General features: G+C 38.4%; 2 annotated features.

Annotated features, from left to right (window-relative positions):
* Positions 1,484 to 1,653: an enhancer, noted in NCBI's record as "active region_25133". NCBI's record gives its function as "activates an Ori minimal core promoter by ATAC-STARR-seq in GM12878 lymphoblastoid cells {active_cell/tissue: GM12878}" and the evidence as "EXISTENCE:reporter gene assay evidence [ECO:0000049][PMID:35858748]".
* Positions 4,039 to 4,208: an enhancer, noted in NCBI's record as "experimental_90359 CRE fragment used in MPRA reporter constructs". NCBI's record gives its function as "activates a minimal promoter by MPRAs in K562 erythroleukemia cells, with activity observed for both the introgressed and non-introgressed 6:137445329 variant alleles {active_cell/tissue: K562}" and the evidence as "EXISTENCE:reporter gene assay evidence [ECO:0000049][PMID:34662402]".

Below are 13,618 nucleotides of genomic sequence, written 5' to 3' on the forward strand. Positions count from 1 at the left end.
AAAATTACATGAATCTATATGTAAATATATATAATATTATATATGTGTGAATATATGAGAGATATATATTTAATTTTCTTTCCTATTTCTTACCTCACCACGTCTATAGGGTGTGTTGGCAGTTGTTAATTTTCAACTTGTCCACAGAATACAGTGAATTAGTTCTTCTGGGACTTAAGAACCAAGTGGCTGAGCTGCTTGTTGGCAGTATGAACTAGAAAAGTCATCTCTTTTTCTGGGCTGAACTCAAATACAAAAATTTTCAATTCATCTAGTAAACGCAAGGGACTGTAAACCAAATGTTGCTTCCAAACCCTGAGGAGGTCCACCGAGTGACCTTTTTTAATGGTAGGGGGTAAAAAGGATAGCGACATGTCACTTAATTCAGAGGGTATCTCACAGTGTGCTGAACCTCCTAGGACTTGACTGATTGGGTAGGTTCCTGAATTTTATGAATTTTATTTCCTTCCCTCTGGCACACACGTATCCTACTAAATCATGTGGGTGAGGGTTACTTCTGGCTCTCCAGCTCTGTCAGCCCAGTCTCCTCTGAGCAGTAGACAGTGCCATGTCCTGCAGATGGTAGAGCACTCCAGTTCTCTCCTGAAGGTGTGTTTCTGGTGTTCTATATTGACTAAAATAGAGAAAAATAGATTTGCCTGATGAAAAGCTGCATACTGGTTTTCAGAGGTTGTGTTGACTTTCTCCAATCAATGACTGTTTTTTCAACAGCAGCTATAACAGGAGTTACTACCTGATTAAACCTACAATTACTCTTTGTCATTTTCCAAAACCCACTTACTTTTTTTCAGACCAAAAAAGCTAGTGAATGAGTATACAGGCACATGGTAATAAAAGTCAAACAAACTTCCATTTGTTTGTATTAGAGCTTTTAAATCTTCTAGAGACAATACCTCCCTTCATTCCTCTAAAGCCTTGACTTCAAGGGACATTTTATTCCAGGGTATCATAGAGGAAATTTGATTAAAGGCAAGCATTAGCTTCTAGTGTCCCATCTCTTACCTATGTTTTCACTGCCCTCAGCTCTAACAAGGCTAAAATATACACACAAATTTTCTCTGTCTCTCAAGGCCTGTTATTTGGAACCAGTGATGGTACTAATTTATGTAGTAGGCTGGTCTCTTAGGTGTAAGCAGCAGAAACCAAATCTGGGTAATTTAAACAGAAAAAGGACGGTATTAAAAGGATGTTGATTAGAGAAAAGCAATTTGAAACCATAAGCAGGAACTAAACCAGCTTTAACTTTCTGCTGATTCCTTCATTAATAATGAGTTCAATAAATCTTTAACATGTGTTATATTCATGAGGCTGGGAGATCTGTTTTAACTGAATATTGTACTTTGACAATTTTTGGAGATTCCACATAGATGTCCCAGGAAACTCCCCTTCTGAAATTAATTAGGCTTATTGAATTTTGCACTGATTGATGCCAGGTATTTCTTGTGCTCTTGGAGACAATCTCAAGCAGCAATAAACACTTACCCTGCTGGCTCTGTTTCTCTGTTCTTTTCCCTTCTTCAAGTCTGTTTTTGTTTTTGTTTCTGTTTCTGTTCTGAGCTACATCTATTCATCCAATTATGCCTTGTCTAATTTAAGTTTGGTCCATATTTATTTTTTCACTGAAGTTCAGGGACTAGTATTAATACATACCCAGCCTGTCTCTACTGAGATCGCCACCCTGTGTACATGTGAGTCTGGCTTGTGCACAGCTAATCTGTTACTCTCCTTTTGTGGCAGCAGTGGATGGAGATCTGGTTCTATGCACTGACTTTTTTTGTCATCTCTGTTGGAATGACAAAGATCTATTCTTCTTTGGCAGATACTATACACACACACACACACACACACACATTGTGAGCTTTGCTGGTCTGCTAAAATGCTAGTGTACGAAAGACAGTTCTCAATGTCCTGTCTTCCAGAGTTTTCCATGAAAGAGAAATTAATTACTTTGTTTAAAAGTTATGATTACTCTATGTGGTTGAGACTATCCTAAGTAAAGTGGAGGCAGAGAAGTATGAATGTAGAATCTAGGTAATAATGGGATGAGTTATTATTTAGCAAGGAAGAGAAAGAGTAGACTTTCTTATAGGAGAGCATCTTGTTAAAGAAGTAGTAAAGAAAAAACCTGATATGATATTTAAGGTTTATAGAAGGCTTGCAGAAAGAGAATTTTATTTGCCTTGGATTAATACCTAAAGGTAAATGAATCTGAAAAGAAGCAACACAATGTGCTAAAAGTTTTGGCAAAGTTGGCTCAATTTTGACAGGTTTGTTTGTAAGATTTTTTTAAAAAAGAAAACACATGAATACCGTGTTAATGCAAGACTATAAATTTTTTCCTCTGTTAAAATGTGATAAGTTGGACTTGCAGTCCTCAGTCTGTGCTTATTAAGAGGTAGTAAATTATCCTTTACCTTTGTGTTATTTCAAATGGCAGAGATTACATATCTCATCAAAATAACTTTCTATGCTTTATGCTGACTTTGGTTTGTTTTTTGTTTGTTTGTTTTTTAAAGACAGGTTCTCGCTCTGTCACCAAGGCTGGAGTGCAGTGACATGATCATAGCTCACTGTAACTGTGAACCCCTGGCCTCAAGCAATCCTCCTGCCTTCGCCTCCCAAAGTGTCTAGATTACAGGCATGAGTCATTTGTACCTGGCCTGTTCTTGATTATTAAACAAACAAGTAAGCAAGCAAGCAAAGAATAAAAGTTACTTCTGAGTAAGCTAAGTTTTCCTACGATGGTGTTACCTTCTGTTGGGTTTATTTTTAAATGCTACATGAGCCTCTTATTAATAAGGGGCCAAACCACCTACTATGGCTATACGCTGATCACTAGCACCTGTGTAATGCTCTGAACTAGAAACCATCCACTTGTGTTGTTTCAGTTTTGCCTTCCCAAGATCAGATCTTAGATTCATAAAATTTTTTTCTTAAAAACGTTTTGCACTAAACAAACTATGTGGTTCCTCTGAGGTTCTTCCCAGATTAAAAATTGATTTTTTAAATTAAACTTTATAAAAAGAGGGGGGCTAAAAATAATTAGTTTTGGGGTGGTCTATTTTTCTTAACTCGTTCAACGCTATCATGACAGCTTCATGGAAAAGGTTAAATAAATGAGGCTCAGCTGTTCCTAGGTTAGTTCTGTGCTGGTAAAGTCCTACTGATAAGTGTGTTTCAGAGCTTGTTACAACTTGGCAGGATGGATTGGAAAGCCCTGGATATTTGTTAACAATTCTAACTGTTTATAGACTATTCTTATCTTCAGGGGAAATATTGATCAAATCCTCAGAAGGCAATTATGTATTATACCCTAGTAGAAAATTTTACTTTCCTTCATTCTGATTTTGTTAGTTATTATACTAACTGCAGCCAGTCTGTCTTCTTATAAACCAGTGGTCTCAGCCCTTCTCTTATACTTGCCTGAAGCCTCTGCTATAAGCTACAACTCTAGAAATGGATCTTTATCAAAAAAGGATAGTTTCAGAAATTTAGTGGAAAGGACTCTACCAGAAACTTCTACACTTATTGTTACTTCCAAGACTGGACTCACGCAGACATGGCTTCTGAGTGGGCATTACTTAGACTACTGTCAGACTGTCCAGAAAAGACATGAACTCTTGAAACTAGACTTCTCCCCAATATCCAGTGAGGCAAGACTTAATTAAGACAAATGATGGGCCGGGCATGGTGGCTCATGCCTGTAATCCCAGCACTTTGGGAGGCCAAGGCAGGTGGATCACGAGGTCAGGAGTTCGAGACCAGCCTGGCCAAGATGATGAAACCCCGTCTCTACTAAAAATACAAAAATTAACCAGGTGTGGTGGCGGGCGCCTGTAATCCAAACTACTCAGGAGGCTGAGGCAGGAGAATCACTTGAACCCGGGAGGCGTAGTTTGCAATAAGCTGAGATTGCGCCACTGCACTCTAGCCTGGGTGATAGAGCAAGACTCTGTCTCAAGAAAAAAAAAGAAAAAAAGAAAAATGATGAAATGATGAGAATACAAAACTGTGATTTTTTATTGGAATAATGTTAGCATTAGTTTTGATATCATATCTTTTCTTTTTTTTTAGTTCCCTGCAAGTGTTCCACATCTATGTTATATTTTTGATAGGTATATGATGGATACTGCTACTTAATCTATTCTTAACTCTTTTATTTCCAATCTTATTTTATTAGGACATTTTAAAAAGAGTATCTTATGGTCATTGATCCTTCAGTAATCAGCAACAATTATTTTTACCGAATCCCTTTTCTTTCAGTGGCAATGTAGTTACCTACATAGATTCAATAAAACCTTTTTAACAGACAATTAATTTTACAAATTAATTGACAAGTTCCAAATTATTTTTTTAGAGTGCCAATAAATTTATTTAAATATGTATGACTAGTCAACCATTAAAAAGCAAGAGTTGTACTTCACATATGAAACCAATGCTAAAAAGCCTCCTAGGAAGCTGTTCTGGTGTCTATTTCATGGTTTATAGAGACCCAGCCTTACAGGAAGTAAGGTCGCTTTCTTGCAGGCCCATGGTTTCAGAAGACTTTTGAGACCTTGAAAACAAAGGAATTTACCCACATTTATAGGTACTGCAGGTAATCTAACAGAGATGAATTTCTTGGGTTTGGTTTTCTAACATCATAATACAAGAGTAACTAAAAACATCTTGGAGTAATGGAGACTGTTAAAAAGACAGTTCCTACAAAGACTTTAGACAGAAGTTAATCTGGTCTTAAGTAGGTACAGCTCTGAATTTCCTAGTTATACACCACAGGTTGGTTTCTAAATGTTAAATAATGCTTCTTGCTACATCTACGTAAGTCTACGAGGCTAAACCACAATGAGATCCTTGATAATAGCAATGAAAGAATGATTAATGAAAAATGTCCATAACTTATAAAGAGAAAAGGATGACTGCATGTCCTTTCATTGTCAAATAGGTTCATCTTTGACTCGGTAGTTGCTATTTATTAAGAAATCTTGTTAGTCAGTCTGGGCTGCCATAGCACAAAAACGTAAACTGGGTGGCTTAAACAATAAATATTTGTTTTTCACAATTCTGAAGGCTGGAAAGTCCAAGATCAAGGTGCCAGCAGATCCAGTGTTTGGTGACAACCCACTTCCAGGTTCACAGATGGCTGTCTTCTCATTGTAGTCTTACATGGCTGAGAGGAAGATAACCGTTTTCATGTCTCTTCTTAAAAGGGCACCAATCTTATTCATGAGGGCTCCACCCTAATGATTTATTCACCTCTGAAAGTCCCCACCTCCTTATACCATCACAATGGGTATTAGGATTCCAACGTATGACTTTTGTAGAGATAGAATCACTCAGTTTGTACATCCAGATAGATGTTAATTTTTAGTATACTGAATGGCATGTAAATTATTCTCTAGAACAATGCAACTGATTTTTTTCCGTAGACATGTAAATGATTTTCAATAAAAAAGATAACCCTAAAGGTTATAGTTTCATTACCTGTAGGACACTAAGCAAGTTTGTATCTAAATTAACATTCTTTCTTTTAATGACTATAAGTATTTCTGTCTTTCCTTTAGTCCTTTGAACAAGCTTTATCTGTTTTCTGATTCCTCATTCAGGAGTTACTTTAATACATGCTCAAAGTCACATGCACACACACACGCAAACACACCATAATGAACCATGACTTAGTACCCACCAGAATGGCTAAAATTAAAATGTTAACAATACCAAATATTTACAAGAACATAGAACAACTAAAATTATTTTATATTGCTGGTTGGAATATAAATCAATCATTTTGGAAAAATGTTTGTGAGTAGCCACTAAATTTAAACGTATTTAAACCCAATGACCTATTCCTGGGTATATCCAACAGAAATCTGGACTTTTGTCTACCAAAAATCATACATAATAAGCTTTGTAGAAACTTTAATTGTAATAACCCAAAATTGGAAGCAACCAAATGTCCATCAACGAGTTATATAAATTGTGTTGTAAATACACAGTGGAAATCTAGACATCAATTAAAAAAATGATCTATTGATACATGCCTCAATAGAGGTATGAATGGATGAATTTTACAGATACAATGTTGAGTGAAGGCAGCTAGGCATAGAAGACTACATACTGTGTATTTCCATTTATATGAAGTTCAACAGCAGGAAAAACTTGTCTCTGGGAGACAAGTCAGGATTGCCATTCCTGAGGGAATACTGAGTGAGAGAGCTCTATGAACAAGCCTTCTGCATGTTGGAAATCCTCTATATCTTGATCTGGGCAGTGGTTACACAGGGAAGTGATATGTAAAATGTTATTGACCTACATTCTTTTTATTTTTTTTTTTGTCGTTTTTTGAGACGGAGTTTCACTCTGTTGCCCAGGCTAGAGTGCAGTGGCAAGATCTCAGCTCCCTGCAACCTCCGCCTCCGGGGTTCAAGTAATTCTCTGCCTCAGCCTCCCGAGTAGCTGGGATTACCGGTGCTCACCACCATGTGCGGCTAATTTTTTGTATTTTTAGTAGAGATGGGGTTTCACCATTTTGGCCAGGCTGATCTTGAACTCCTGACCTCATGATCCACCCACCTCAGCCTCCCAAAGTGCTGGGATTACAGGCGTAAGCCATCGCACCAGGCCTTATTGACCTACATTCTTAAGACTTGTGCTCTTTTCTGCATGTGAGTTAAGACTTAATTTTAAAAAATAAATTTTGGTTAATTTACAGGATTTCTGGAGGATGGGTGGCACAGAAGACCAGATCTGGAGGCTACATAGTCAGGAACAACATTCCTGTTGTGTTACAGAGTGGCCCATTGATGACCCTTTTGCTGCCACTGGGCACAGCACTGCAACTTATGTCCCATAGAGCTCTGACACTAGACGTCAGAATTTACCACTTAAACTGCATCCACAGCTGTCTCTGAGCCATTCCCACTCCCTGACCCCTGCCAGAATGAATTCTGCAGAGAACAGCTCACTTGTGACCTAGCTTGCAATTTAAAGCCTGGGCCAGGAGTATCTGATTGGCAAGTACTTGCCCTTAGTTGCAAGAAAGGTTGGGAGGGAGAGAGAGCATCTGCTACTATTTCATAAACCAGGAGGATAACTCAGTCATTAGATGAAGGTTGTGATATGAAGCATCCTTCAAGAATGACAAATGTCTGTAGAGGGGAGGTAATTTAACCAGTAACCAATACTTAAAGCATGCCCATGGTGTATTGGCCACTGTGGTGGTGAAGAAAATTCTTGGAGTTGCTTTCCTATCAGATTAGTTGTTTTTCCTCACTCAGCTGGGGGAAGGCAAAGGAATATGTGCCAATTCCGAGTGTAGTTGCTGAGAGAATAGGTTCAGATCTTAGTAGTTGACTAATTCTTTTCCTTGCAGAATGATGTGGGCTTACTTTTCCTTTTACTGAAGAGCAGGAGTCACAATCACATCTACTTTTTCCTTAAAAGTATAAGATTTATTACTTTTTTAATTTTAATTTTTTATTTCAATAGGTTTTTGGGGAACAGGTAGTGTTTGATTACATGGATACGTTCTTTACTGGTGATTTCTGAGATTTTGGTGCATGCATCACCCAAGCAGTGTACACTGTACCGAATGTGTAGTCTTTTATTCCTCAACCCTCTCCAATCCTTTATACCGAGTGCCCAAAGTCTATTATGTTATTCTTATGCCTCTGTGTCCTCATAGCTTAGCTCCCACTTACGAGTGAGAACACATGATATTTGGTTTTCCATTCCTGAGTTACTTCACTCACAATAATGGTCTTCAGTTCCATCCAGGTTGCTGCAAATGCCATTTTGTTCCTTTTTATGGCTAAGTAGTATGCCATGGTATATATATCCCACATTTTAAAAATCCACTCATTGATTGACGGGCATGTGGGCTGGTTCCATATTTTTGCAATTGTGAATTGTGTTGCTATAAACATGCATGTGCAAGTACCTTTTTCGTATAATGACTTCTTTTCCTCTGGGTAGATACCCAGGAGTGGGATTGCTGGATCAAATGTTAGAGCTACTTTTAGTTCCTTATGGATCTCCACATTGTTTTACAGAGTGATTGTACTAGTTTACATTCTCACCAGCAGTGTAAAAGTGTTCCCTTTTCACCACACCATGCCAACATCTATTTTTTTTTATTATGGCCATTCTTGTAGGAATAAGGTGGTATTGAACTGTGGTTTTGATTTGCATTTTCCTTATGCTTAGTGATGTTGAGCATTTTTTCATATGTTTGTTGTCCATTTGTATATCTTCCTTTGAGAATTGTCTATTCATGTCTTTAGCCCATTTTTGATGGGATTATTTGTTTTTTCCTTGCTGATTTGTTTGACTTCCTTGTAGATTTTGGATATTAGTCTTATGTTGGATGCATAGTTTGCAAATATTTTTTCCCACTCTGTGGGTTGTTTGCTTACTCTGCTGATTATTCCTTTTGTTGTGCAGAAGCTTTTTAGTTTAATTAAGTCCCATCCATTTTTCTTTGTTTTTGTTACATTTCCTTTGGGGTTCTTGGTCATGAACTCTTTGGTGAAGACAATGTCTAGAAGAGTTTTTCTGATGTTATCTTCTAGAATTTTTATAGTTTCAGGTCTTAGATTTAAGTCTTTGATTCATCTTGAGTTGATTTTTTATAAGGTGAGAGATGAGGATCCAGTTTCATTCTTCTACATGTGGCTTCCCAATTATCCCAGCACCATTTGTTGAATAGCATGTCTTTCCCCACTTTATGTTTTGTTTCCTTTGTCAAAGATCAGTTGGCTGTAAGTATTTGGCTGTATTTCTGGGCTCTTGATTCTGTTTCATTAGTCTATATGCCTATTTTTATACTAGTACCATGCTGTTTTGGTAACTATAGCCTTGTAGTATAGTTTGAAGTTGGGTAATGTGATGCCTCCAGATTTGTTCTTTTTATTTAGTCTTGCTTTTGGCTATGTGGGCCCCTTTTTGGTTTTATATGAATTTTAGGATAGTTTTTTTCTAGTTCTGTGAAGAATGATGGTGGTATTTTGATGGGAATTGCATTGAATTTATAGACTGCTTTTGGCAGTATGGTCATTTTTACAATATTGATTCTACCCATCCAAGAGCATCGGATGTGTTTCCATTTGTTTGTGTTATCTATGAGTTCTTTCAGCAGTGTTTTATAGTTTTCCTTGTAGGGATCTTTCACCTCTTTGATTAGGTATATTCCTAAGTATTATATATATGTATATATATGTATTTAGTAGCTATTGTAAAAGGAGTTGAGTTCTTGATCTGATTCTCAGCTTGGTTGCTGTTGGTGTATATCAGTGCTACTGATTTGTGTACATTAATTTTGTATCCCGAAATTTCACTGAATTCATTTATCAGATTTAGGAGCTTTTTGGATGAGTCTTCAGGATTTTCTAGGTATACAATCACATCATCGGTGATTGACTTTCTCTTTACTGATTTCAATGCCCTTTATTTCTTTCTCTTGTCTGAACTGCTCTGGCTAGGACTTACAAGACTATGTTGAATAGTAGTGGTGAAAGTGGGCATCCTTGTCTTGTTCCAGTTCTCAGAGGGAATGCTTTCAACTTTTCCCCATTCAGTATAATGTTGGCTGTGGGTTTGTCATAGACAGCTTTTATTACTTTAAGGTATGTCCCTTCTATGCCGATTTGGCTGAGGGTTTTAATCATAAAGGAAAACTGGATTTTGTCAAATGCTTTTTATGCGTCTATTGAGATGATCATATGAATTTTGTTTTTAATTCTATTTATGTGGTGTATCACAATTACTGACTTGCAAATGTTAAACCATCCCCTGCATCCCTAGCATGAAACCCACTTATTTTGAGAAAAAACAAAAACAGATTAATTTTAAATGATGTAAAATTTTGTTCTTTGCACAAATATGAAGGGAAATGATTAATCAGGTATTGGCTTTACTAGGCAGGAAAGAAAGCCTGTTCTTAGTGGGCATTTAGATTAAGGAATCCTCTAAAGAACAAGTCTCCCTTATTATTCTACATTGTGAGGCAGGGCCATTTTTTATTTTATTGTGTCTTATTTTATTTATTTTATTTTAACAAAACCTGTTCTCAAAACAGTAGAGATGGCATGCTAGGAGAGTACAATGGCAGATGCTAACTATGTATGTATACGGTGTGTGTGTGTGTGTGTGTGTGTGTGTGTGTGTGTGTGAAAGAGAGAGAAAGAAACAGAAAGGGAGAGAGAGCAAGAGCAGCAAGCATTTGAAATAAATACTGAAGACATTGTAGTTGTGGTGTATTTAATAGAGTTTTGGTCACTAGCATTGCACTGGCCATGTATTAGGATGTCAGTAAATATTTCTGGCCTGAACTTGGAGCATTCTAAAATTGCCTTTTGTCCTTGAAATTTATATTAATAGGACAAAAGGGAGATATTGGTTTTTTGGTTAGAGTATTCATACAGCCACATGACTTCTGAAGACTATCAGATGGGACCTTGATTTACTGCTGTAAAAATGTACTTTTTACATACTAGGTTTACACACTAGATTTCAAACTAGGGATGCACGAATGGTTTAACATTTGCAAGTCAATAAATGTGATACAACACATAAATAGAATTTAGTACCAAGGAAGCTGTGAATTGAACCATGTGATATAAGCAAAATGAGAATTTGCTGACAACAGTAGATGTTGGCTGATATCGTCTCTGATAAAACCCTGACCAGAATAACCAAGCATAGTTCTGTAGGGCTTTTCTGTGCTCAATTTGCCCTAATTGTATCATCTGCAGAAAGATGAACTTTCCGGCCATGTTCTTCTCAATATTTAGAGGTTACAGTTTAAAAGTCTTTTTTTAAAAGCTTAAACTGTAACTTTGTCTTCATAACTTACAGTGGCTTCATTCTCTACTGGGTTTTCTCCATCTGCTGGGAAGTTGTTTAAAAAGTTTAAGCTGTAACTTAATGCAGATGATACAATTAGTGCAAATTGAGCACAGAAACTTTACTTTTGTTAATACAATACATAATTCATGTCACACACACTTTTTTTTTGTTCTATTAGTCAAGGATCTTCTGGTTGAAAGTGATAGAAATTTAAGATAATAGTAAAATAAGGGGAAAAAGTAATTAATATGTTCATTTAAAATCAAAGTACGGAAGGTGGGCTGGTTTTCAGCACAGCTGGATTTACTTGAATACTATCAGGAATCTGTCTCTTCCCATCTTTACTCTGCTTTCCTTCACATTGGCTTTCTCCTCTACTGGGCTCTCTCTACGCTGAGAAAGTTGCCTGCAGCAGCTCTAAGCCTAACAGATCCTTGCAGTGCATGACTCCAGAGGAGAGAACTGGCTGTTCTTCTCCAATCTCAATGTTTGTATTTCAAATAGCTCTAATTGATCCACCTGAGTCAAGTTCCACCAGATGATTGCCCTGTGTGTGTGATGGGGTGGGAGGTGGGAAGACTTCTTTGACAAGGTGGCAAACAGGGCCAGGGAAGGCAAAGAGTCAGCAGAGCTCTGGGGGCCGTCACGTCGCATTCTTGGGGCTGTGAATGAAATGAGGGATGTGTATGGAAATGGGGTAGATCTACCATTTGCCTCTTCTCACCCAGCTCTCATCTTCTCAGACCCCTAAAAAGAATAAACAGACCCATCTCCAGGACCATCATCCTTGGGCACAGTATCATTTCAGCTGAAGGGTGAAGGGCCTTTCTGCTTAAAACATGTATTTCCAGTTACACAGCACTGCCTGGAATCAGTTTCACTCAGAGCAAAGCATTTCATTCCAAATTATTCTTTTACAGATAAAAAGCCCCAAATGCAAAAATCTGGCAGGATAGGCTTATTTGTGAGAATGTCAGTCAAGTATAACTGACTGCTTTTTGTATGCGACTGAGAGTCAGAAAGAAGGAAGGCAAATGGTTCCCAAGAGGGAAGGAATGCCAGTGGACCAGCCTCTGCCCCACATCCGGCCAAGGGGCTATGGTAAATAGAGGCTAGCTATTGTCAAAGAAGTACTAGAAGAGATTGAGGTCCCAGCTGAAAAAAATGATACCTTTGGAGCATCAGGAGCAAGGTTTGTCTCCTTGGCAACCCTCATTTTGTAGAGATCAATTTTTGTAATTCGGCTTAAGCAACATCTAGCAATTGACTATGTAGTGATTTTTGTCATTGTTTAGACACAAAGGTCTACTTTCCTTTCCAGGGAACATAATCCTTACTAGCAGGATAAAATAAAAGAAAATCCACAAGAACAATAAAGAAAAGTTCTATTCACCAAGTTCACTTATTTCTCTGGGTAAATGGCAGTTTAAAAAGTTAAGGAAACTTATTTCTCTGGGTAAATGGCAGTTAAAAAGTTAAGGAAACCATGTAGTTTGGTGCGAGAATTTCAAGATGGTTATGATTTTAAAAGGCTTGGATAGAGTTTATCCTAAATTAGTTTCATCTTATCAAGCTGGTTTTATCTTTTTCTTTTTTTGCCTTGGAACCATTGGAACTTAATTTACCAAAAAAAAATTACGATTTTTTTTTTGCTTGGAGGTCAAGATACCATAAAAATGATTGACAATAGCCTTAAAAGTAGTTGAGAGTGATGTTAGCAAGATGGCCAATTAGAAGCCTCTCCCACTCATTCCCCTAACAAAGACAGCCAAAAACAACAAATAAACAACTACATTCTGATAAAAATAACTAAAGGAGAATGCCAGAGTACATCAAAGGAGTGGCAGAAACCCCGTGGAACACAGAAATCCAGGATGGCCACACAGAAAAAGAAAGGAAATGCCTTGCCTCCACCATCCCATACCCCAGTCGGATCAGCAAGGAACCAGGAGGGATATCTCTTTGCAGGGAAAAGGGAAGCAAGAGGACCCCAGCAGCCCTCATCACCACCTTGAACACCTACAGTCCTCACCACTGAGGTTCTTTGCAGTCCTCATGGGCGTATTAAGCTTAGTTGAGAGAGCTGCCTGGAGTCCACACAGCTGCACTTCCCCTAGAGAAGAAGCCAACACTGTGCCCTCCTCCCTGTGGTCCATGCAGCTACTTCACTGTGCCATCTTGGAACCAGAGCCACTGTTTGAGTGTGTCCTGCTCCATGGATTTGCCACAGCACTCTTCCATCCCTGAGGTTTTGTCACCACTGAACCACCCCTGCCTGATAGCTTGCCATTCCTGAGCCAAGCTACCTTGGAGCCTCTCCATCTGCCCCTCCCAGTTGCTTCTGTGCCCCACCCTTGTGGCTTGAGCTGGAGTGGTGTACTGCTTCCCAGGGAAACAGCGCCTTGGCTGCCCTGAGCAGTGCGCCCCCTGGACCTGAGCTGAAGCAGCACCCTACCACCTGAGAAATCAGTGCCATAGCCACAGAGAGCAGTGGCTCATCCCAGAGCTGAGCTGATATAGTACCTGCGTCCCAGAGAAACAGCATTGGCTGAACTGAGATATCTTTTCCTATAGGCTGAACAACCATAGTACCTTGATTTCCTAGAACTGGACTAGCCCCCTAGAATCTGAGCTACTAAGACACCTCCTACTCAGGGAAATGGAATCATTACTGTGCTGCTCCCTGCCCCCCAGGGCCCAAGCAACTCCAAACACTCTACCATTCTGGCATCTTTGCTGCCACTGGATCTGGCTT

Source organism: Homo sapiens, chromosome 6 (genome assembly GCF_000001405.40).
Source record: "Homo sapiens chromosome 6, GRCh38.p14 Primary Assembly".
Taxonomy (NCBI): Eukaryota; Metazoa; Chordata; class Mammalia; order Primates; family Hominidae; genus Homo; species Homo sapiens.